General features: G+C 37.6%; 1 long non-coding RNA gene across 3 annotated transcripts in view, besides 1 other annotated feature; it reads left to right on the top strand.

The window, feature by feature from the left end:
* The window catches only part of LOC105370461 (uncharacterized), a 433,650-nt gene that overhangs the window by 328,456 nt on the left and 80,618 nt on the right, over positions 1-24,576 (top strand). The window contains exon 4 of one of the 3 annotated variants that reach the window (XR_007064128.1): positions 860-14,241. The exons of the other annotated variants lie outside the window; for them this stretch is intronic. This is a non-coding gene — a long non-coding RNA (uncharacterized LOC105370461). Of the gene's footprint in view, positions 1-859; positions 14,242-24,576 lie in introns of those variants that run through there. 3 annotated transcript variants of the gene reach the window in all.
* Positions 20,565-21,075: an enhancer, noted in NCBI's record as "H3K4me1 hESC enhancer chr14:40250573-40251083 (GRCh37/hg19 assembly coordinates)". NCBI's record gives its function as "activates a minimal SCP1, AML or CMV promoter by ChIP-STARR-seq in primed H9 embryonic stem cells {active_cell/tissue: H9 hESC(primed)}" and the evidence as "EXISTENCE:reporter gene assay evidence [ECO:0000049][PMID:30033119]".

Consider the following 24,576-nt stretch of genomic DNA (forward strand, 5'->3'; position numbering starts at 1 on the left):
CTAGTGTCATTTATGTTTACATATGTGTTTGTAACTCAGTTAAAATCATTGTTATATGAATTAAGAATGTATAACTCTTTTAAAGAGTATGTTCAGTTGTTTGCAAGCAAGCATGTTTGTCATTTTCATAAAGTCCCTTGGTAAAGAAACCCCATAAACATTGTTATTTATTTATGAATAACTTATGTCGACCCTATTGCAATATTACAATCAAAATTCTGGTGTGAGGAGTGGGAAAAATCAGTGAAGTAAATTTCCTTTAAAACTCTCTTTCTGAGATTTCCCTTCTATCTGAATGGTTTGTTGCATCACTTTAGTTTATTTAGTAATCTCAAAGACACTTACAGTCTCATGCCTGTAATCCCAGCACTTTGAGAGGCCAAGGCTGGCAGATCACGAGGTCTGGAGTTCGAGACCAGCCTGGCCAACATAGCAAAACCCTGCCTGTAATCCAAGCTGCTTGGGAGGCTGAGACAGGAGGGTCACTTGAACTTGGGAGGTGGAGGTTACATTGAGCCGAGATCGTACCACTGCACTCCAGCCTGGGCAACACAGGGAGACTCCATCTCAAACAAATGAACAAACAAACAAACAAACAAAACACAGGGCTTCAAGATTCTGAATCTGTATAAACAACCTTTAGGATAAATCCTTTGTGATTAATTCTTTAAAGCTGTATTATAAGTTTTTACATGTTAAACTTTTTTCTTAGTCATTTGATTTACATTATATGTTGACAATCTGTCAGGCTAATATATAGCATTAACTGACTCATTATTTCATTGATAGAAATGTGTTAATAGGATGTTACAGTCACACTTATCTACATTGGAATTAGCCTTTCAATATGTTTTTGCAGAAATTGTTGCAATGTGTTTAAAAATGAGATAGACGCCGGACACGGTTGCTCGGGCAGATCACGACGTCAAGAGATCAAGACCATCCTGGCCAACATGGTGAAACCCCGTCTCTACTAAAAACACAAAAATTAGCTGGGAGTGGTGGCGCACGCCTGTAGTCCCAGCTACTCAGAAGGCTGAGGCAGGAGAATCACTTGAACCTGGGAGGCGGAGGTTGCAGTGAGCCGAGATTGCGCCACTGCACTCCAACCTGGCAACAGGGTAAGACTGTCTCAAAAAAAAAAAAAAAAAAAAAGAGATAGTCATTAAACTCTTTAATGCAAAACGAACAATTGTGAGAACTATAGAGACTGTTTACAGACTCAAAGCTGTAACAGTTAAATTATTTGTTGTTAAATCACCTGTAGTTAATTACAATATGTTGATGTGTACCTGATCTAAAAGGAAGATTATTTTGGGTTGTCAGGTTAAACACAGACATTGTCGAGCAAAGATAAGACAGTCAAATTACCTTTTATTCCTCAGAAGTGTCATTGAATTCAGTTAACACCTTATCAAGTGCTAATAAGACCTTTCTTTGAAGATGTGAATGATTAAGCCCTAATCCTTGTTCAGTGATTTTTGAATCTTAGAAGTTCCGAATCAAGTTAATTTCTAAATTATACAATTTGAATATACTAACATTTTAATTTAACATTTTGTATGTTATTTAATTTGTGCTCTTAAATTTAGTTTGAATCCAACTTCCCCTTTTTTCTTTACTCAGAAAAATAATTTTGTCTTTGATTTATGCAATAATAATGAATGGATTCAGCTTACTCATTTCAAATTATTTCTGCAGAATATTGAAAGTTAGGGAAATGCCTCCCCCCACTCTTTTAAGTAGCTTTAGAAATTGCAGTTCTGTTCGACACTAAATACAGTGAATAGTTTGTGTTCCACAGCTTCAGGATAGAGAACACAGATTTCCCAAACATTCAGCAAATTACGAAACAATTGAGAAGTGGGGAAATCCAGGGTTACAGCAGATAGTCTTTCAAATGGGAGATGTTGGAGTGTTGATTTCTGTTCTGATGGGCTGTGAGTAGTGGTAGTGGTGGCAGTGGCAACAGTGACTGTTCTACATCTAACGGGAGGGAAGGTGGTACTTCACCACTGATGTGCCACAGAAGCTTACTCATTTTCCTCTTTTGTGGGCATGCTCTTGGTTCCACATCATACACTGGGGATACATCAGCAAAATGTGGTTAATTGCAGTGTAGCAGGACGAGCCGTAGACAAAACCCCTCAGACACCGAGATAGTGAAGGGAGTGGCTTTAATGAGCTGGAAGCATCGGCAGACTAGCGTCTTAAAATCCAAGCTTGTCAGGTGCACAGTTTCTGTCCCTTTTAAGGGCTCACAACGCTAAGGGTTTCACGTGAAAGGGTCGTGATTGATTGAGCAAGCCAGGGGGTACGTGACAGGGGCTGCATGCACCGGTGGTCAGAGTGAAACAGAACAGACCAGGAAGTTTCACAATGTCTTTCCATACAATGTCTGGAATCTATAGATAACATCGGTTGCTAGGTCAGGGGTCGAATTTTAACCACCAGGCTTAGGTCAGGCAGGCCCAGGCCTGGTTTCAGGTCTGGTTCCTAGGCGCCGGGCTACCTGCCTTTAGTTTCACTTCTCTTTCCTTTTCTGGGTATAAAACAATATAAAGCAATATGAGAGGGTCTGTCTCTCTTCTCTCAGCAGCAGATAAAGGACAACTGTGAAGATTGGGAACCTGAAATTAGACCTTCCCACAATGTTTGAAAATGTTCCTGGGAAACAGACCTTTGAGTCTTGGAAGGAAGGATCTATACACTCTGCGGTGATAGACAGGTGGTACATGGATAGCAGTGGGCAAACCCTGAGCAGATGACACTCAGAAATTTAGGTAGATCATGTGGTTTTTATCATCTATGTATAGGTAGTCAGAGCTCTATACTGGTGTCCAGACCCTGGCTAAGAATCTAGCAAAGGCAAAGCAAGGTTCCAGGCTCATGTGGGTGCCAGGATAGCCTCTTAGGGAGTAGAGCACAGGGATTAGTAAGAATATCCAGTTACATACCTGGGGTCAAGAAGAGCCCAGAGAATTTGGAAATTTGGCATGGTTAATAAAACTAAGGAGAAGAATCAGAGAAGGAGTAAGTGTGATGGTTGAAACTAGAGAACTAGGTATTAATATGGAGTGTAATTCGTGTGTTAGAACAAGCTTGCCATGACTGGGGAGAGCTGATAACATTTTAAAGACATTTGTGAGCTCATTGATGGAGAACTTGAAATTGATCATGGTGGGATTATTTACACCATGGGATCACAAATGTCACATATCAGGCCTTCCCCTTCTCTCTCACCTCCAGAACTGGCTGTTAAACATTTATCAGCACCCCACAGGTGTAGCGTAGAGAACATAGCTTTGAGGTTGGCTAGAACTAGGATAGAATTCTGCTTCTCGGAGTCGTGACAACTTATAAAACCTCCTTAAATTTTCTAGTTTCTTATGTAAAAAATTTGGAGTATAATGAAAATTAAATTACCTATAATGATATACAATGCACCCAGCCCATTACAAGTTCTTATAGTATTTTTGAATCCTTCTTTTTCCACTCTCCTTATACAACTGGTCCTAGAGTCTGAGGGAGAAGGAGTTGTAATGGAGGTGAAGATTCTACAAGAGAAGAGCCAGAATTCAGGCACCAGGAAGGAATTTTTGTTTTAGGGAAGGTACATCCCAAATAGTTACACCAAAGTTCTTTCTGGGGGAAATTAAGAAAAAAATGTTGAGAGTGGAAGCCCCTATATGGCATCACAGTACCTCTGAAGGGGCAAGAATTGCCCTTCAGAGGGGCAATTTTAGACAGCTGTGCTGAGTAGGGATAACAAGCCCAAGCCTGGGGAGTGAGCAACCCATGGGTACTAGATATCAGGGCGATCAAGAGCCTGGAGTCTCCTAGCCAGAAGTGCACTTGGTCTTGGTCAAGACAACCCCTCTACTAGTCCCATGATCTTAGGCAGTATAAAAGTGGTTAGAGCTTATAAGACCCACTGTCCCAGATTTGGTAGAAGGGAAATCAGAACAATTCTCACACACATAATGTCAGGGCAAACACATGGTCTGGATAGAGCGTCTCACATTAGGCAAAATCAAAATATAACTGTAGGAAACAACTGAAACCAAACACACAAAAACCTATGCACACATACCAAGGGGAAAAGAGGGAAGAAGCCCGATATACAAAGTGAGAGTGAACCCAGTATAAAAGAAAACATTATCCAGAAAGCATATATTTTTAAAATTTACTCTGTAGAGAAACTTACTGAAAACATAAATTTGTTAAAACAAGACTCAAAGATGAGATGATTTAAGAGAAGAGTGGGATAAAAATGGGGATGACTGGAATAAGAAAACAAATTGAGAACCAAAACAACACCCTTACTATCTAATAAACAGCTTAGAAGCTGCAAGGAATGAGAAAAAACTTAAAATTGAACTTAAGAGGTAGAGTAAAGGTTTGAAATAATCGCAGTGAGTGCAGAAGATGACTAAAGGAAAAAAGGAGTTACAAACATTTCTCAAAAATGAGTTCCTATATTTGATTTCATGTTTGTCCTTTCAAAGAGGAGGCCAATTCTACAGTCACAAAATTATTTCTGTTGGCTTTCACAGCCTTGAATAAAATGGAAAAGATTAAAGTGTGGCTCTTAACAGAAGCGACTCCTAACTGCCAATGGCTTCTAGAAATGTCTTTTTCAACGCACTGATGAAATTGTTTTATAAATCTCTCTGGCCTTATAAAGGAAAGTAGTAATTGTGGGATAAGTACAGCCTGAAAAATTTATTATACTCCTCAAATTTTGGTTAACAGTGGGTAACAGGATGGGGAATGAGACTTCTCCTGTTTTGGAATTTTTGCTAAAACTTCAAAACAAAACTAATGAATGCTTTCATATTCTGCAGAGAGCCATCACTGAGCTGTGGGATCCCTCTGATATGGTTTGGCTATGCCTTCACCCAAATCTCATCTTGAATTGTAGTACTTATAATCCCCATGTGTCATGGGAGGGATCTGGTGGGAGGTAATTGAACCATGGGGGCAGGTTTTTCCTGTGCTGTTCTCATGATAGTACATAAGTCTCATGAGACCTGATGGTTTTATAAGGGCAGTTCCCCTGCACATGGTCTCTTGCCTGCTGCCATGTAAGACGTGCCCCAGCCATGTGGAACTGTGAGTACATTAAATCTCCTTTTCTTTATAAATTACCCAGTCTTGGGTATTTATTCATTGTAGTATGAAAATGGACGAATACACCTTCCCTTTGTATTCTATCTGTATGATAGCATAAACAAAAATCAATTTTAAAGGTATAAAAAATTAAAAACAAAACAAATTAAATGAAAAGAGATAGTCAAATTAAACCTGCTAGTCTGATCGTTACTCCCAGTGGGTATAAGAAAAAGTTAAGGAATTCGAGGATGTTCACTGTGGCTTTGAGTTATGGTTTTACCCCCTCATAGTCCTCCCCTCATAAAGCAAGGAAATGGGGTCTAAGAGAATCCCTCATAGGAACTGGCATGCTTGGAAGAGGATGATATTGGTATCTCAAGCCTGTATTAGATGTCTGTTCCCATAGCAGCCTTGCCAACCTGCTCCACAATGATGTAAGCAAACTTTGTGGGGCAAACTGAGAGTAACCACAAGGCAGAGAGACGAGAAGTGAGGAGCTTGTGCATCATCCATTGTTTAGGGAACAGGGAGGTGGAATTTTACACTGGGCTACCGGTGCAAGGGAGCCAGGTGTGCTTGATCATTGGTGATAGCATTTGAAGCAGGGACTGAAGTCCTGAGCCAGAGCAGGTGTACCACATCAGAAGGTACACCTGTAGCACGGAGAGGCTGCCTCAAGGGGGCATCCAATGGACCTCACCTGTGGTGTCTTAAAAAAAAACACACACACAACACGAGCCTTTCTACGCACACCATACAGAGATTGTCTTTGGCTAAGGGAAGACTGTAACTGCACAAGGAAGGTAAACGATGTTTTTGGCACTTTTCTCTAAGCTCTACTTTCTGCTTCAACAAAGGAAAAGCTAGAACAAGAAAAGGGAAGTGGGAAGGAGAAGCACAGGGAGCCTAAGTTAGGTTAGAGGAGTGTTTCTTGGGTATGAAATTGAAGTTTTAAGTTTGGGCAAGATTGGGAACTTCAGTAGCTCGAAATATCCAGAAAGCATCTTAGATTCTGGCTCAGATTTTTTTAAGAGATGGAAATGGAGATTCAAAGGTTTTGTTATTGAAGACAATAAAGCCATTCCATGTTTGGACTCCACTAAATTCAGATTGTTCGATTAATCTGTCAACACTTGTATGCCAAAAAATGATACTATAGGCATTGTATGAACTGCTAACTTTATTTATCCTTTGGTATGACTGATACCTTTATAATTAGAAACCATATGAAATGTTTAATAGTCTAAATTGAGTTAAACCTCAGGACACAGATGATTGACTATATAATTTTTATGACAAGGAAGCATTTAACAACTTCTTTAGTATTGATGATTATCTTTGAAATGAGGTCTATAAAGTTTACTCATAATTCATTAAGAATTATCACAGCATTCAAGGTTTCTAAATCAAATTAATTCAGAAGTTAAATTCCCACTTTTGAAGGATATAAGAAAGTAAATATCAATTATATTTTGGGACTTCTGTCCACATATCCAGAATTTCCAAAAATCGAATACAGTGCAGAACATCTGAGAGGAATCTCTAAGCTTGGTTCATACTGGTTGCCTTTGATATATTAAGGTCTGAGGGAGGCTTCATGTCCTTCAAAGAGGGACAATTTTCATGCTTCCGTATGGAACTTAAGGGATATATGCAAAGTCGGAATGTCCTAGATTCTGCTATAAAATAATTTCAATATAATTGAAAAACACAAACGTTCAGGAAAAGAGATGTGAAATACGCATTTCTTCAAGAATGCTGTATATCTTTTAAGTAGTGTAGTATAAGGTGAAGATTTCAAAAAAGTTTTAAAAGATTTATTTTTTATACTTTTATGCTACAATCACTGTTTATGCAGCTCCTGATATGCATAGAAAGGTAAGAATTCTTAAAGTACAAATAAATTTGCTTATATATGTATATACACACACACACTATTGTTAAAGACATCTCTTACCTTCTAGTTGTTTCAAGAGTCTTTGAAACATTGTTAGACAATAAGTCACAAATCAATGGCCAGCATGAAATTATATTAAAATTATATCAGTGTAACTAAATAATTTAGAAGTAACTCTACTAAGCTTTCTTAAAGATGCATTGAATCTAAAACTGTACTATGATATAAGGCTCCGTTTGTTGAAAACGTTTAAAAGATGCAGTGATTCTGAACGTTTTCCTGAATTTTAAATACCATGTGAACGTTTTGCTTGGTGAGCTGACGCTGACACCAGGAACACTGTGCTACTCTTCTGTCTTTAGCAGAGGGAGCCAGAGCCACGCAGGGGATTTTGGGGCCCAGAGTGTGTGATTTTGCCTGTTTGAAGCAGGGGGACACTGCTAATAAAATACTTAGACCATATTTATTTTGATATGCAGCAGGCTGGGGCTCTTTATGGATCAGTGACCTGGAAATTCTTCCTGGTTTCCCCCAGTCCGGTCGGCACTGCTGGTAGAAGTGGAGAGCAGGTCCCACCCATGCACCCAGTTTCTTCTTCTGCCCCTCTGAGTGTCTTTTTCCATATCCTCCCTTTTTGGAAGGGTTTCACAGGCCCTCTTTTAGACCATCATTTTTTCCCTATTATAGTGAAGGAGATGTTGACACTGTTAGTTTTTTCCTCTTACAGAAGTCGATGCCTCCGGAATCCTTGACAGATATAGAGAATGGGTAAGAGGGAGAAGAAAACAAAGTGGAGGGAAAAGAATGGCAATGAAAGTATGATAAGGAAAAAAAAAAGGTTAAAAAAAAACAGAAAATAAGGGTGATAGAGTGACATCAGAAGTTGCTTTGAATTTCTCTTAGAGGAACTGGCATTTCTGGGTCACCCTGCTCTGTGGTTTTCTGGTTTTCATAATTGCATAGATGTATGAATGACATTACTTATGATCATATAAGAGAGCCTTAGCAGTTCATTGTTGTGTGAAAGTGAATGAGCTTCATGGTTTACTCAACCGTGAGCCTGCTTTGGCAGCTGGTACTATGTTAAATGATTGGAGAATTAATTAACTGAAGAACTTGTTAAACTGTTGAAATGTGTTTCCACTGAGCAGTAATAATGGCAATTCACTGTTAGTCAATGAGTGCCCACCATTCACGAATAGGAAATTTCTAGTATTATGTGTATCGTTTTTGGAGCACATCTGTATTAGACCGCATGCTAGAGAATTTTTATCTGAAGAGGTGCCAAATTTTTCTCTCTCCGTTGAAGGACTATATTGTCCTGAAAGGGTTAAGATCTCCCCATTTCAAACTTGCCTCTTTTCCCCTGAGTACTCCCACATTGTCTTATTTCCCCCCAGAAAGTTGTCTACCAATTCAGTTAGTGCTGAGTTGAATCTACCAATTCATTGAGGTTAAGTTTCTTCATGTATGTAGAACAATTCATTATAAAAATTCAGAAATGAATTTTTATTGATAAGAAAGCATTATCTTGTCACTTTCCAAAAGACTTGGAAACGTTGTGAGATAATGACATAAGTCAGAAATCGATGACTAGCATGAAATTATAATAAAAATTATTTTGGTGCAACTAAATAATTTAGTAGTCACCTTACTAAGTTTTTCTTAAAGATCCATTGAATTCAGAACTGTACTATGATATAAGGCTCAATTCGTCAAAATGTTTTAAAAAAAGAGTAGGTATTCCTATTAATTGCTATTCCATCAAGTGTCTTTTAAACATTTGCATAACTCACTTCTATTTCAGAATATCTGAAATTTATAATAGGAAAAATTTATAACTTTCTCTCTTTTACATACTTCTTAATAAGGGAATTTGTGACAAGTGGAATTCTTAAACAGTGGCCCTGTGACCTGACTTTGGGTGGTTTGGACAGTGAGCCAGTATAGTAACATACTGTACAGGTTTATAGTCTAGGAGCAATAGGCTATACCTTACAGCCTAGGTGTGTAGTAGGTTATACTGTCTAGGCTTGTGTGAATACACTCTGATGTTTGCACAACAATGAAATCACCTAATGACACATTCCTCAGGAGGTATACCTGTTGTTAATCAATGACATGACTGTATCTATTTTTAATATCAAGTTACCTTAATTAGAATTCACTCTATCTTTCAGGGAACTATAAAGATTGTTCTACCTGAACCCCATGGCCAACAAAACAACTTAGCAATTAAACCATTAATAGTGTTATAGAATTTTGACTTAGACTTTGAAATGAAATGCTAGAATTTGCATGCTTGATTACTTCTTAAAATATACTGTATCTCCATAGAGATTTCTAAAGCCATTTAAGCACTCCACAACAGCCAGAATAGAGTTTAGCTAATGGACCATGAAATACCTATGACTATGTACTTCACAGATAATATTCTTCCATCTCTAGCTAGATACCATTGACACAGTGAGGATGGCACTGAGGAAAGCATTTGGGTTACAAAATATCTGTTAGCTTGTTTATTGAGCTTGGAAGGAAAGTATCTTCAGTGGGATGATTTCAAAATTTACCAGATCCAAATGCTCAATTTTAAACATTTGCCATTTTAAACATCTCTCTTCCCCTACAGCACCACCCTTGGTGGTGCTTTCCATCAGTGGAAAGAGTATCTGTGCAATAGAGCATCTCTAGATGCAATGTTTAATCTTGAAGTAGCTCTCTGCTGTATTTATCAGTGACAAGGATGACATTTTGGACTTGAGCTTGCCTCATACACTTTTCTTATTTTTTAATTGCTTCAGAACTCATCAGAAAGAGATGGCACTGATTGGGGATCCTTGGATCCCAACATCTCCTACATCTTCTGCAGTTGTAACAAAAATGGTTATTTGTGTAGCTAAACATAGAAAAGGTACAGTAAAAATACAATATAAGAGATAAAAATGGCACACCTGTATAGAGTGCTTACCATGAATGGAGCTTGCAGGACTGGGAATTGCTCTAGGTATGTCAGTGAGTGAGTGGGGAGTTGATGTGAAGGCCTAGGGCATAACTACTTGACTGTACACTTTATAAACACTGTACAATTAGGCTACACTAAATTTATTAAAAGTATTTTTCTTTGGTAAAAAAATTAACCTTAGCTTACTGTAACTTTTTTTAAATTTTTTGACTCTTTTGTCATAATAAGCTTAAAACACACACATTGTACAGCTGTACAAAAATATTTTCTTTATATTTTATAACCTTTTCTCTATTTTTAAATTTTTTACTTTTTAAACTTTTTTGTTGAAAACTAAGATACAAAGATACACATTAGCTGGAGCTTACATAGGGGTTAGGATCATCAATATTACTGTTTTCTGCCTCCATCTCTTGTTCCCCTGGAAGCTCGTCAGGGATAATAACATGCATGGAGCTGTCATCTCCTATGATAACAATGCCTTCTTCTGGAATACTTCCTAAGGAACTTGCCTGAGGCTGTTTTTTGATTAACTTTTTTTTATAGGTAGAAGGAATACACTCTAAAATAATGATAAAAGTATAGTAAATATATAAATAAGATAGATTTTTATTATTATCAAGTAGTTTGTACCGTACCTAATTGTATGTGCTATATTTGTAGTGACTGGCAGTGCAGTCTACTTGTTTACACTAGCATCACCACAAAGGTAAATAATGTGTTACATCTATGACATTACAATGGCTACAGTGTCACTAAGTGATAGGGATTTTTCAGCTCTGCAATAATCTTATGGGACCACTGTCCCATGCAATGTGACAGTGTTAGGTTTCCATGGGTCTGTTTTCTGACAATATTCAGAATTTTGGAAAATGTACTTTGCTGTTATAAGTAGAATAAACAAGAAAACCTCTTTTTAAATATTAGAGCAAAAATGTGCAACTTATGGATTTAAGCTGGAGTGAATCAGTCTATTCTCTTGGTGGCCATGCGTTCTCATTGAATTCATTTTACTGTAATGCTTTACAGATAAAAGTAAAATCTCTTTATGATAAATTGATTGTTGTCTTTGTTGGTGAATATTTTATTATATTTGACGGTACTGCTAGAAATCATATTGCCTGTCCAAAGGAAATGTAGATGGATAAAATTTGTCCAGGTTCTCTGTGGAGGATTAACAAATACGAGAAAGCGATATGAGAATAGTAAATGGAAAGAGTAATTCCCTTTCTCTCTTCCTCTCTGCCTGTCATTTTAGTTCTAAGTCTTGAGACTTCTCAAGTTTGCATGAAATAATATGCATACTCTTTATACCCTTTTACTTTCATTCTTTTTTTCCTCCGATACTCTCATTTCCATTTCTTCCTGATGGCAAAAAATTTTAACTGTAGCTCTACTGTGCCACACTACATTTTTCTAGACTATCACTCCTTGAAAGAAGGAATTACAGTGTAATTGTTGTGTGCATTGAAGAATGCTTGTGCAGGATAATAACCAATAAGTATTTATTAACTAAATAAATGAGCTGTTAGTATGTGAATACATAGTATTTTTGTTATGCAGAAACCTTCTTTGTAATGTATTATCTGTTTTGTGATTTTATTACGGAAGACTATTTTGCATGTATTCTAAAGCACAGCAACTTAATCCTGATGTTCTTTTCTGCTTAACAGAATTGGTTTAATTGCAAAATATGTTTCTATGCAAAGTTCTAGTGATGATTCATTGTTTTTCATTATTGCGCTGGCATCTAACTGTGCCTGCTCCATTGCCCCTGCCATCACCACTAATGAAGAAGTACTTTCAAGTGGTGGGATGGACTGTGCACTCCATCTTGTCTGTCGAACCAGAGACTGCTGGTGGAAAAAGTGACTGGTGATTTCCTGAAAGTTTACTGTTGTTTTTTTGCTTGACCTCGGTATAATATGGATATTGCTACTTATGTATGGTCTTTTTTTAAGGTTCTGGATAAGTGTATTTTACAAGGAATACAATTTGCCTGTCTTAGCAATGACTCAGACTAGTATTTATTGAAAGCACTCAGATACATTTGTTGAACAAATGAAACAGCAAGCATAGAAGTGTTTTATCACTTATGAGAGCTGTGGAACTCCACCTCTCATGTGAAAAGAATGCCATAGCCATACAAATTGAGCATAGACAGATGTCCAGTCTGGAGAAAGATGGACATATCCACCCCCAAACAGCCACATATACTTCTTATTAAGCATCCTCTAGGAGCTGGTCTGCGCCACACTACTTTCTTTGAAAATTCTGTCTTCTGTAATTACATTTCCATAATTTTGCAAATGAGAAGCCTCAATGATATGAGAAAGGCAAACAATGTGTTTTTAAGTTAAGGGCAAGTTAGTTTACTAAGTCTTTTCATATATTTAATTCTCAGAAGAAATAATGGACTTTTGTGCTTTGCATCCTTCTCTGGGTCTCTTTATGCAAACAAACATCTGGGAGTACTACTTCCTAGTTTAGGGAAGGTATAATTCAGATGTGGGAAGTATTTTGACATTTTAGTATCTCCTGTTATTAGTAAAATGACATGTTGGTTTATAAATTTGGGGTTTGTAAATGTCTGATTTTTAACTAAAAATTACTGTGTTTGAGTTTTCTGTCAGGAAAACAGGTTTAGAAGATGCCAGATGTGTGTTTGGTATTTTTCCATTAAGTATGTTTTTTTATTGCCATGTTATGCTATGACTTGCCTGTAAATATTCCTGCTCATTCCCAAGATCTGGAAAACATGCCACAGAGAGGCTATCACTGGGCTAAGAGCCTTTGAGTCTTAAAATGCCTCTGTGGAGCAATGCATACCAAGCGGGCAGGCCGTGCATAGTCATGCAGAAATACTGAGTGGTTTCCATCCACTTATGCACAATTTGGGGCATTGTGGTAGTGGTTGCTTGGCCTAAGTTTTATATTTTGGCTTTATCAAAATGGTCTTTTAGGTAAGGGATATTTAGAAACTATGCCAAAAAAGCTTTGCTACTTTAATCAATAAAGAATTAATTTAGTACTAAAATTCCTCAGGGAAAAAAATGTGTGATAAATTTTTCAGCATAAAATTTACATTCCCTTTGTGAAAGGGCTGTCTTCCAGTAAATGCAGTCAATAAATTTATCTCCAAAGGCACAAATGTGTACACAAAAAACCTCAAACATCTGGTGAAGTGGTTTCTTTGAGAAAAGCCAAAATACAGTGCTTTTGAGGTTGGTAAGCCATGAAAAATCTCTTTTGAAATAGAATTAAGATGCTTTTGCTGTTATTACAGAAAAAAAAAGTCTCTAATTTTCTTTGAATATCCAGTATCTCTTAAAAATTTTTGTTTTGCAAATTTGTTAAAAACTGGTTAACGTAATTTGCACGTGAGATAGTGCAACTTCAAACAGGTTTTTTGTTGTTGTTTTTTAAACACAGGTGGGAGATATGGGAGATTGGCCTGGATAGCTAGGCATGGGATAGATTTTAAAAGGCTTTCTTTTGTTTGGTAAGGGAGTTAGACCTTGTTCTATAGCATATGGGTTGGCACGCTTTTTCTACAATAAGCCCAGTAGTAAATTTTTTATTTTTATTTTTATTTTTTTCTATGTAGTAAACATTTTGGGCTTTGTGGGCCACACACTTTAATATCTCCCATTACTAGTAAACTGACATTTTGGTTTACAAATAAACCAAATTTGAGTCTGTCACAATGACTCAACTCTGTCGTTGTAGCATGAAAGCAGACATGAACCATGTGAATGGAGCATGGGTATATTCCACTACAACTTTATTTTATGGACACTGTAATTCAAATTTTATATAATGTCTACATGTCATGAAATAGTAGTGTTCTTCTTTTGATTTTTTACAACATTAAAACATATAAAAACAATTCATAGTCTGAAGACTAAACTAAGACAAACTGCAGGTATGATTTGGTCCATCATGGGCCATTGTTTTCTGATCCCTGCTACTGTTACCGACGAACTATCATTATTGAACTATCATTAACAATTGAAGATTTTTAATCAGGAAGGAGATATGATTGTATTTGCATTCAACACGTTCTTTTTGGTGCGGCATTTTTAAATTTTTTTTCCATAAGTTACTGGGGTACAGGTGGTGTTTGGTTACATGAGTAAGTTCTTTAGTGGTGATTTGTGAGATTTTGGTGTGCCCATCACTGGAGCAGATGCAGATGAAGACCTTCATGATGATCTAACTTCCACCTAATAAATAATAAATATATTGTCTTTTCCTTATGATTTCTTAATAGCTTTTTTTGACAGAGCAGATGAAGTCCTGCTCTGTCACCCAGGCTAGAGTGCAGTGGCGTGATCTCAGCTCACTTGCAACTTCCTGCCTCCCAGGTTCAAGCAATTTTCCTGCCTCAGCCTCCTGAGTAGGTGGGATTATAGACGTGTACCACAATACCCAGCTAATTTTTGTATATTTAGTAGAGATGGGGCTTCTCCATTTGGCCAGGCTGGTCTTGAACTCCTGACCTCAAGTGATCTGCCCACCTCAGCCTCCCAATGTGCTGGGATTACAGGCGTGAGCCACCACACCCAGCCTCTTTTGTGTTTCTGTATGAATTTTAAAATAGTTGTTTCTAGTTCTTTAAGTATGTCATTGTTAGTTTGATAGGAATAGCATTGAATCTATAAGTTGCTTTGGGCTGTATGACCATTTTAACGATGTTAATTCTTCCTATGCATAAGCATGGAATGTTTTTCTATTTGTTTGTATCACCTCTGATTCCTTTGAGCATTCTTCTGTAGTTTTCATTGTAGACATCTTTCACCTCCCTGGTTAGCTGTATTTCTAAATATTTTATTCTTTTTGTGGCAGTTGTGAACGGGATTACGTTCCTGAGTTGGCTCTAAGCTTGACTGTTGTTGGTATGTCACAATGCTAGTGATTTTTATATGTTGATTTTGTATCCTGAGATTGTGCTGAAGTCGTTATCAGCTGAAGGAGCTTTTGGGCCAAGACTGTGGAGTTTTCTAGATACAGGATTATGTTGTTTAAATTTTCTAGATACAGGATCATGTTGTTTGTAAATAGGGATAGTTTGACTTCCTCTCTTCTTATCTGGGTGCCCTTTATTTTTTTCTCAGGACTTCCAATACTGTGTTGACTAGAAGCAGTGAGAGAGGTCAGACTTGTCTTGTGCCAGTTTTCAAAAGGAATGCTTCCAGCTTTTGGCCATTCAATATGATATTGGCTGTGGGTTTGTCATAGATGAATCTTATTATTTGGAAGCATGTTCCTTTAATACCTAGTATATTGAGAGTTTTTAACATGAAGGGGTATTGAATTTTATTGAAAGAATTTTCTGCATCTATTGAGATAATCAAGTGTTTTTTGTCTTTAGGTCTGTTTATGTGATGAATCACAAACATTTTTCTATTTTGTTTCCTCTCTCAGAAATTCATAGAGAAGATTGGCATATTAAAGGCTCTGAGAAGGGCTGCAGAGAACATAACTTTTTTGCTGTTTTGTTAACTTGATGTTTATCACACTTATTTATGGAAACTTCTGTGGAAAATGACTTAGGAAATGCTATTTTAATGGCAATTATCTTAAATGAAGAAGTGTGGTAAAGATCATTAAGATCAATTAAGAAGAAATCCACTGCAATATTCATGAAAAAAATATTGAGGGAACAAACCAGGGAGCAACAGTGGAATGTAGAAACATTATTATTAAGGAAACACAATTTCTGGAATATAGAAGTGGACAGTCTTAAAGATGTTTTTCTATTAAAGTGTGAAAAATTAAAATACATAAAAAACAAACACATATATGCTTCTTTTATTTTTTCATAAGTTATTGGGGTACAGGTAGTATTTGGTTACATGAGTAAGTTCTTCAGTGGTGATTTGTGACATTTTGGTGCACCCATCACCCAAGCAGTATATACTGCACCCTATTTGGAGTCTTTTATCTCATGCCCTCCCCACCCCAACCCTTCTCCTCAAGTCCCAAAGTTCATTGTAAATATTTGGTTATATTTCTGGGTTCTCTATTCTGTTTCATTGGTCTATGTGTGTGTTTTTATACCAGTACCATGCTGTTTTGGTGACTATGGCCTTATAGTATAGTTTGAAATCAGGTAGTGTGATGCCTCTAGATTTGTTCTTTTTGCTAAGTCTTGCTTTGACTTTGTGGGGTCTTTTTTGGTTTCATATGAATTTTAGAATTGTTTTTTTCTGATTCTGTGAAGAATGATGGTGCTATTTTGATGGAGATTGCATTGAATTTTTAGGTTGCTTTTGGCAGTATGGTCATTTTCACAATATTGATTCTATCCATCCATGAGCATGGGGATGTGTTTCCATTTGTTTGTGTCGTCTGTGATTTATTTCAGCAGTGTTTTGTAGTTTTCCTTGTAGAGGTCTTTTGACTCCTTTGTTCAGTGTATTCCTAAGTATTTTATTTTTTTTTTGCAGCTATTGTAAAAGGGGCTGAGTACTTGATTTGATTTTCTGCTTGGTTGCTGTTAGTGTATAGAAGAGCTACTGATTTGTGTACATTAATCTTGTATCTGGAAACTTTGCTGAATTCTTTTATCAGTTCTAGGAACTTTATGGAGGAAGCTTTAGGGTTTTCAAGGTAAACAATCATATCATCCACAAACAGTGACCGTTTGACTTCCTCTTTACCGATTTGGATGCCCTTTATTTCTTTCTCTTGTCCTAGCTCTGGCTAGGACTTCCAGTACTATGTTGCAGAGGAGTGGTGAGAGTGGGCATCCTTGTCTTGATCCCTTTCTCAGCGGGAATGCCTTCAACTTTTCCCCATTCAGTATTATGTTGGCTGTGGGTTTGTCATAGATGGCTTTGAGTACATTGAGGTATGTCCCTTGTATGCCAGTTTTGCTGAGAGTTTTAATCATAACGCGATGCTGGATTTTGTCAAATGCTTTTTCTGCATCTATTGAGATGATCATGTAATTTTTGTTTTAATTTCTGTTTATTTGGTGTATCACATTTATTGTCTTGCATATTTTAAACCATCCCTGCATTCCTGGTATGAAATCCACTTGATCATGGTGGATTATCTTTTTGATATGTTGTTGGATTTGGTTAGCTAGTATTTTGTTAAGGATTTTAGCATCTATGTTCATCATGGATATTGGTCTGTAGTTTTCTCTTTTGGTTGTATCCTTTCCTGGATTTGGTATTAGGGTGATGCTGGCTTCATAGCATGAATTAGGGAGGATTCCTTCTGTCTCTACCTGTCGAATAGTGTCAAAAGGATTGGTACCAATTCTTTGAATGTCTGGTAGAATTCCGCTGTGAATTTGCCTGGTCCTGGACATTTTTTTTTGTTGAAATTGTTTAATTACCATTTTAGTCTTGCTGCTTTTTACTGGTCTGTTCAGGGTATGTAATTCTTCCTGATTTAAGCTAGTAGGGTTGTTATTTTTCCAGGAATTTATCCATTTCTTCTAGGTGTTCTAGTTTATGTGCATAAAGGTGTTCATAGTAGCCTTGAATGATCTTTTGTATTTCAGTGGTGTTTGTTGTAATACCTCTTGTTTCATTTCTTAATGAGATTATTTGCATTTTCTCTCTTCTTTTCTTGGTTAATCTTGCTAATGTTCTATCAATTTTATTTATCTTTTCAATCAACTAGCTGTTTATCTTTTGTATTTTTTTTGTTTCAATTTCATTTAGTTCTGCTCTGATCTTGGTTATTTCCATTCTTCTGCTGGAAGAAGGAAATAAATAGCCAAGCTCTCTTGTTTGTTCTTGTTTCTCTAGTTCCTTGAGGTGTGACCTTGGAATGTCAATTCATGCTCTTTCAGTCTTTTTGATGTAGGTGTTTAGGTCTGTGAACTTTCCTCTTAGTACTGCCTTTGCTGTATCCCACAGGTTTTGATAGGTTGTGTCGTTATTGTCATCCAGTTTGAAGAATGTTTTAATTTCCATCTTGATATCATTTTTGACGCAATACTCATTCAGGAGCAAGTTATTTAATTTCCGTGTATTTGCATGGTTTTGAAGGTTCCTTTTGGAGTTGATTTCCAGTTTTATTCCACTGTGGTCTGACAGGGTTCTTGATATAATTTCAATTTTCTTAAATTTATTGAGACTCATGACCTATCATATGGTCTATCTTGGAGAAAGTTCCATGTGTTGTTGAAAGAATGTGTATTCTGCAGTTGTTGGATGGAATGTTCTGTATATATCTGTTAAGTCCATTTGTTCCAAGTTATAGTTTAAATCCATTGTTTCTTTGTTGACTTTCTGTGTTGCTAACCTGTCCAGTGCTGTCAGTGGAGTATTGAAGTCCCCCACTATTATTGTGTTGCTGTCTATCTAATTTCTTAGGCCTATTAGTAATTGTTTTATAAATCTGGGAGCTCCAGTGTTAGGTGCATATATGTTTACGATTGTGATATTTTCTGGTTGGACATGGCCTTTTACCATTATATAATGTCCCTCTTTGTCTCTTAACTGCTGTTGCTTTAAAGTTTGTTTTGTCTGATATAAGAATAGCTATCTCTGCTTGCTTTAGGTGTTGATTTGCATGAAATGCCTTTTTCCCACCCCTTTACTTTAAGTTTATGTGAGTCCTTATGTGTTAGGTGAGTCTCCTGAATGCAGCAGATAGTTGGTTGGTGAGTTCTTATCCATTCTGCAGTTCTGTGTCTTTTAAGTGGAGTACTTAGACCATCTACATTTAATGTGGGTATTGAGGTTTGAGGTACCCTTGCATTTATCATGTTATTTGTTGCCTGTGTACTTTGTTTTTGTTTTGTTTTGTTTTTGTTTTGCTTTTTAACTTGTATTTTTGTTTTATAGGTACTGTGTGATTTAGGTTTTAAAGAGCTTCTGTTTTGATGTGTTTCCAAGATTTGTTTCAAGATTTAGAGCTCCTTTTAGCAGTTCTTGTAGTGGTGGGTTAATAGTGGTGAATTCTCTCAGCATTTGTTTGTCTGAAAAAGACTGTATCTTTCCTTCATCTATGAATGATACTTAGTTTCACCAGATACAAAATTCTTTACTGATAATTCTTTTGTTTGAGGAGGCTGAAGATAGGTCCCCAACCCCTTCTAACTTGAAGGGTTTCTGCTGAGAAATCTGCTGTGAAGCTGATAGGTTTTCCTTTATAGATTACCTTGTGCTTTTGTCTCACAGCTCTTAAGATTCTTTCCTTCATCTTCACTTTAGATAACCTGATGACAATGTGCCTAGGTGATGATCTTTTTGTGATAAATTTCCCAGATATTCTTTGCGATTCTTGTATTGGGATGTCTAGGTCTCTAGCAAGGCCAAGGAAGTTTTCCTTGATTATTTCCCCAAGTATGTTTTTTAAGCTTTTAGATTTTTCTTCTTCCCCAGAACACTGATTATTCTTAGGTTTGGTCATTTAACATAATTCCAGACTCCTTGGAGGCTTTGTTCATATTTTCTTATTCTTTTTCCTTTGTCTATGCTGGATTGGATTAATTCAAAGACCTTGTCTTCAAGCTCTGAATTTTTTCTTCTACTTGTTCAATTCTGTTGCTGAGACTTTCCAGAGCATTTTGTATTTCTGTAAATGTGTCCGATGTTTTCTGAAGATTTGAATGTTTTTTCTTTATGCTATCTATTTCCTTGAATATTTCTCCCTTTACTTCTTGTATCATTCTTTGCATTGGGCATGCCTTATTCTGGTGCCTTCCTGATGGGCTTAATAACTAACCTCCTGAATTCTTTTTCAGGTAAAGCAGGGATTTCTTTTTGGCTTGGATCCATTGCTGGTGAACTAGTGTGATTTTTTTTTTTTTTGAGGGGGTACGGGGTTGTTAAAGAACCTTGTTTTGTCATATTACCAGAGTTGGTTTTCTGGCTTTTTCTAATTTGGGTCGGCTTCATCAACCCTAGAGCAGCTTCAGTTCTAGGACTGGAGGCAATTGTTCACACTCTTTTGTCCCACGAGGTGTTCCCTTGATGTAGTACTCTTCCCTTTTCCCTATGGATGTGGCTTCCTGTGAGTGAAACTGCAGTGATTGTTGTCTCTCTTCTGGGTCTAGCCACCCAGCAAGTCTATCCAGCTCCGGGCTTGTACTGAGATTGTCTGCACAGAATCCTGTGATGTGGACCATCTATAGGTCTCTTAGCTATAAATGCCATTGCCTGTTGCAGTGGAGGTGGCAGGGGTGTGAAATGGACTCCATGAGGGTTCTTAACTTTGGTGGTTTAATGCTGTGTTTTTGTGCTGGTTGGCCTCCTGCTGGGAGGTGGCATTTTCCAGAGAGCATCAGCTGTGGTAGTATGTAGAGGAACCGGCAGTGGGTGGGGCCCTAGAACTCTCAAGATTATATGCCCTTTGTCTTCAGCTACCAGGGTTGATAGAGAAGGCCCATCAGATGGGGGCAGGGCTAGTGTCTGAGCTCAGACTCTCCTTGGGTGGGTCTTGCTATGGCTGCTGCGGGGGATGGGGGTGAGTTTTGCAGGTCAATGGAGTTGTGCATCTAGGAGGATTATGGCTGCCTGTGCTGAGTCGTGCAAGTTGTCAGGGAAGTGGGGGAAAGTTGGCAGTCACAGGCCTCGCTCAGCTCCCATGCAAACTGAAGGGCCTGTCTCACTCCCACCGTGCCCCTCAAAAGCCCTGAGTCTGTTTCCAGGTGCTGGGGCGAGCTGGGCTTGAGAACTTGTGCCAGGCTGCTCACCTCCCAGCTGTGAAAGAAAAGGGCTTGGTTCTTCCCCAGCCTGTGGTCTGCACACTGGATTTGTTCCCTCCCTTGAGTTCTGGCCAGGAGGCTTCTTGCTCCATTTAAATTGTTACAAAGTCTAGCTGGAGATTTCCTTCTCCCTGTGTTTTCCCCCTGCTCCTCTGACTGCCCTCCCAGTGGATCCCCGTGGTGCCAGGCAGGAATGGCCTGCTTGGGAACGCAGCGAGCTCCCAGGGCCTTTCCCACTGCTTGCTGTACCCTGTATTTTGCTCTGCTCTCTAACTTGACTCAGCTCCAGGTAGGGTTGGAAACTTCTCCTGCAAACAGACCTTCAGTCTCTCCAGTGGGGGGTGTGTGTTCGGGAGAGAAGATTCTCCCTTTCCCACTTCCGCAGTTGGGGCACTCAACAATATTTGGGGTGTCTCCTGGGTCCTGCAGGAGCAGTCCTCTTCCTTCAGAGGGTCTGTACACATATGCTTCTCATATACAGTATATGTAACTACCACATTTTATAAAATAAAAGTAAGAATGAAGAGATATTTGGGTACTTAAAATAGAAAACCCAGAGTTCAAAGCATATGTTACCAATGCCAGTGGGGTAGAGACTTAAGCAAACCAAGATGCAAAATATTTCAACATGCAAAAAAAAAAAAGCACACTAAAGATGACTTAGAGAAAGAAGTCTTATTTTCTACGACCATGTTTATCAGGGTTCTTGATTGCTAGTAATAGAAACTGACTGGGTAACTTAAAGCTGAAAATAATTTTGTTAGAAATATATGAGATAGCTCACAGAATCACTCAGACAGCAAAAAACAGGTAGTGGCCAAAGACACCAGCAACCACTGCCTGAGTCGACTTATGCTGCTGGAATAGTCTTGTTAGGATGCTGCAGCTGGGACCACATCTACTTCTGATGGCCTCTTCCTACTGCCCGCTTCACAGTGACTGATTTCTAAACTTGTCCTGTGTCTTTGCATTCCTCCCTCAAGATTCAAAGTCTTGGGGGAAAATATAAGATGTCTGATTGGCTAAAGCTACTTCTCCTGCCTGCGTCCCAGATCTCAGGGATGGAGTGGGGAAAAGTACCACCTCCTCTCTTTAGCTTCCATGGTTGGAGGTGAGATACCTTATTCCACTGGTGTTGTAACCAATTGAGAATTCCCCAGAAATAGGAAAGGAGTTTGTGTTGCCTCTCCCCAGATGATAACTATCCATCTCAAAGACCAAGAGAGGGATTATCTATGAACAATATATCTGAAATTTGAAGTACAGTATTCTCATCATTGAATAGACAAATTGCATTACTGAATTGCAGCATTTACTTAGGGGATAAATAAGCTAACATAACAAAATACACATCCAAACGTGAATGTGATTTGGTAAACTTGAGCCTTGGGGATGCAGTAGAATTAGAATAGTTTTAATAAATAGGATTTAAACCCCAGAGAATTTAAACAGTGACTAAAATCTTTAAAGTATTTCCGATAATTTCTACAAAATTTTCTGGAAAGAACCTAAGAGTTAAGATTTACTTAAGTGCCACTTATTTTTCTGTGGATTGAAAAATCTAATGATATAAGAAAAAAACATGTTTCTTATGTTCTAGGGATTAAAGGAATTTGACAAAATACTGATGTTTATTGAGATAATTGAAAACCACTTGTGTACCTCTTTCATTTGGTCCTGATATTGTGGAAGAATAAAGTATTAAGGAACTTTTCACCCTATTCATTGGAAATTGTGTTAATATTTTTATTGTTTACTGAGGTTTCTTTTCCCCTCTGGAGTCTTGGAAGTCAGATTTAAACATAAACTATTAAAATTAGTAAAATAGAGGGAAATGATAAAGAAATTGATATGGGTGATATTGGAGACTTATTTCAAAATGTAATAAATATAATGGCTCAAATTTTCATAATTGTATTTTTGCCCTAAATTGTGGTTGGAAATAGCCATCTGTCAGTTTGTTTCTTAACAAAATTACAGAAGGGGAGACAACTGAGATGTTATAATAAAAAGAAAAACAGAATTGTTTCAGAAAAGAGGTATATTGTGTCTTTTTGCCTACTTGCCTTGACATAGCAGGTTAAAAGTATGTGAAGTAGGTAATTTAGCATCTGCAACATTTAGTTGCACTTCAATACAGGGACCATTATCCTGGATCGTCAAACCTCTGGTGAACATGTACATCTGTTCCAAACCTCATCTCTGATGCACAACTCTGTTTAATACGTAGAAACTCTATGGAACAGGAGTTACAAGTAATTTTTATGACAGTACATTGGATATGCCTAAGTTACTTTTAGAATATGTTACAACCAAAAGCTCAGTGGACTCCCTCACTCACCTATTGAATGATTTGCTAGAGCACTGAAAAAAAAGCACGCAAGTTTGATAAAACTTCCAAAGGGGCTGCATGGCATCTTCTAATGGATGAGCTTGAAGATAAAAATCACAGAAATTTGTGAAAAATGTGTTCTAATTAACAGACATCTGACTTTAGCTACATAGATGAAAAATGGATAATAGTTTTAGAGACAGTAAATGTACATTTCTAGGGTTAAATTTTAAGTCACACAAAAATATCGAGTGTCCAGTATTTGCAGAGCCTGCTTCTGGGTGTAGAGAGAAGATCAATGTGAATTCATAGATACAGACCTTGTTTTCAAAAATATTTTAATTGCATAAGAAGATAGGGCATGTAAAGGATAAGCTACCTCTGGGCTGGAGGAATATAAATAATGACTGATTGACTCCCTTCTTCCATTCCCCCCGCCCCCTTATTTGCTTTGCATGTACCAGACTCTGCTTCTAAGCCTGTTGATCCATCTTTTGGTTGCTGCTACCACCCAGTCTTATTCCTGATATTTCTCTTTCCACAAATGCTGCTTCCCTCTGCTGTTCTTCTACTGCCATTCTCTAAGCTTTAGGAAAGTAGGCAGGGAATAATACAAATAATAAACAGGGAGAAGTGACAAAAAATGTTGCAGCACTTTGTAAAGTCCTTACAGATTCCATTATAAGAGAGTAGCCAGAACTCTTATTGAGTGTCTGCCCTTAATTTATATTTCTGAGTATAGTGAGGGAACTAAATAACTCTCACTCCTTTCCCCTTGATTTACAGTAAATATCATTCAGGATTCAGAGAGGAGAGAAGAAAGAAGCTTTCCTTTGAAGACAGAATTTTGGCAGGCTAAGGTTCTCTTTGCATGAAGGGAATAATGTTCCTTTCTGAAGACTTCTGGACAGTGTGACTTCTATTCTAAGGCTTCACACAGAATTGGCAATTTTGAGAATTTCCTCACAGGACTTTCTGGCCACATTATGCTAGTACTTTTGCCTTATTCGAACTTGGCTCAAAATAGCTTTTGTCTGTTTTCAAAAATCTAATTCAAACTTAAAGAATGGGGATTCATTACAAAATTAAAAATGTGCTACAACTTTTAAAAATGCACTTTGGGTTCTGCAGGCATTCCAGGAGAGTAGTTCTATACCAGTTTTTGCTACAGCAAAGGCACTGGGAGGAATGCACAGCCCTCTAAACTGAGGAGTGAGAGGGATAGCACTCCTGTACGCAGCCATGCTTTTCCTATGCTTGTCAAGCAAAAAGGTGACTCTTATAATGACAGAGGTCCAGAAAGTTCTCCTTTAAGGGTAGTATCTACATAAATTCAAACTCATTCTATTTATATTTTACTTCATTACATAAAAAGACTAACAGGTTTTCACTACATTTAGATTTTATGCTTGAAATGGCCTGACTAAAAATGCTGGTTAGACATACAGGGAATTCACTCTGGGCAACTTCAGGTTAGGGGTGAGATGTGGGCAGACTTTGTCCAGATGGCTGATGATTGTGATCATCTGGCCTCGTGTAAGTGGCAATCCCAGGTTGGGTTTCAGGGTGATTTATACGTTTAAGGATGGTTA

This window comes from Homo sapiens, chromosome 14, assembly GCF_000001405.40.
Source record: "Homo sapiens chromosome 14, GRCh38.p14 Primary Assembly".
NCBI classification, from domain to species: domain Eukaryota; kingdom Metazoa; phylum Chordata; class Mammalia; order Primates; family Hominidae; genus Homo; species Homo sapiens.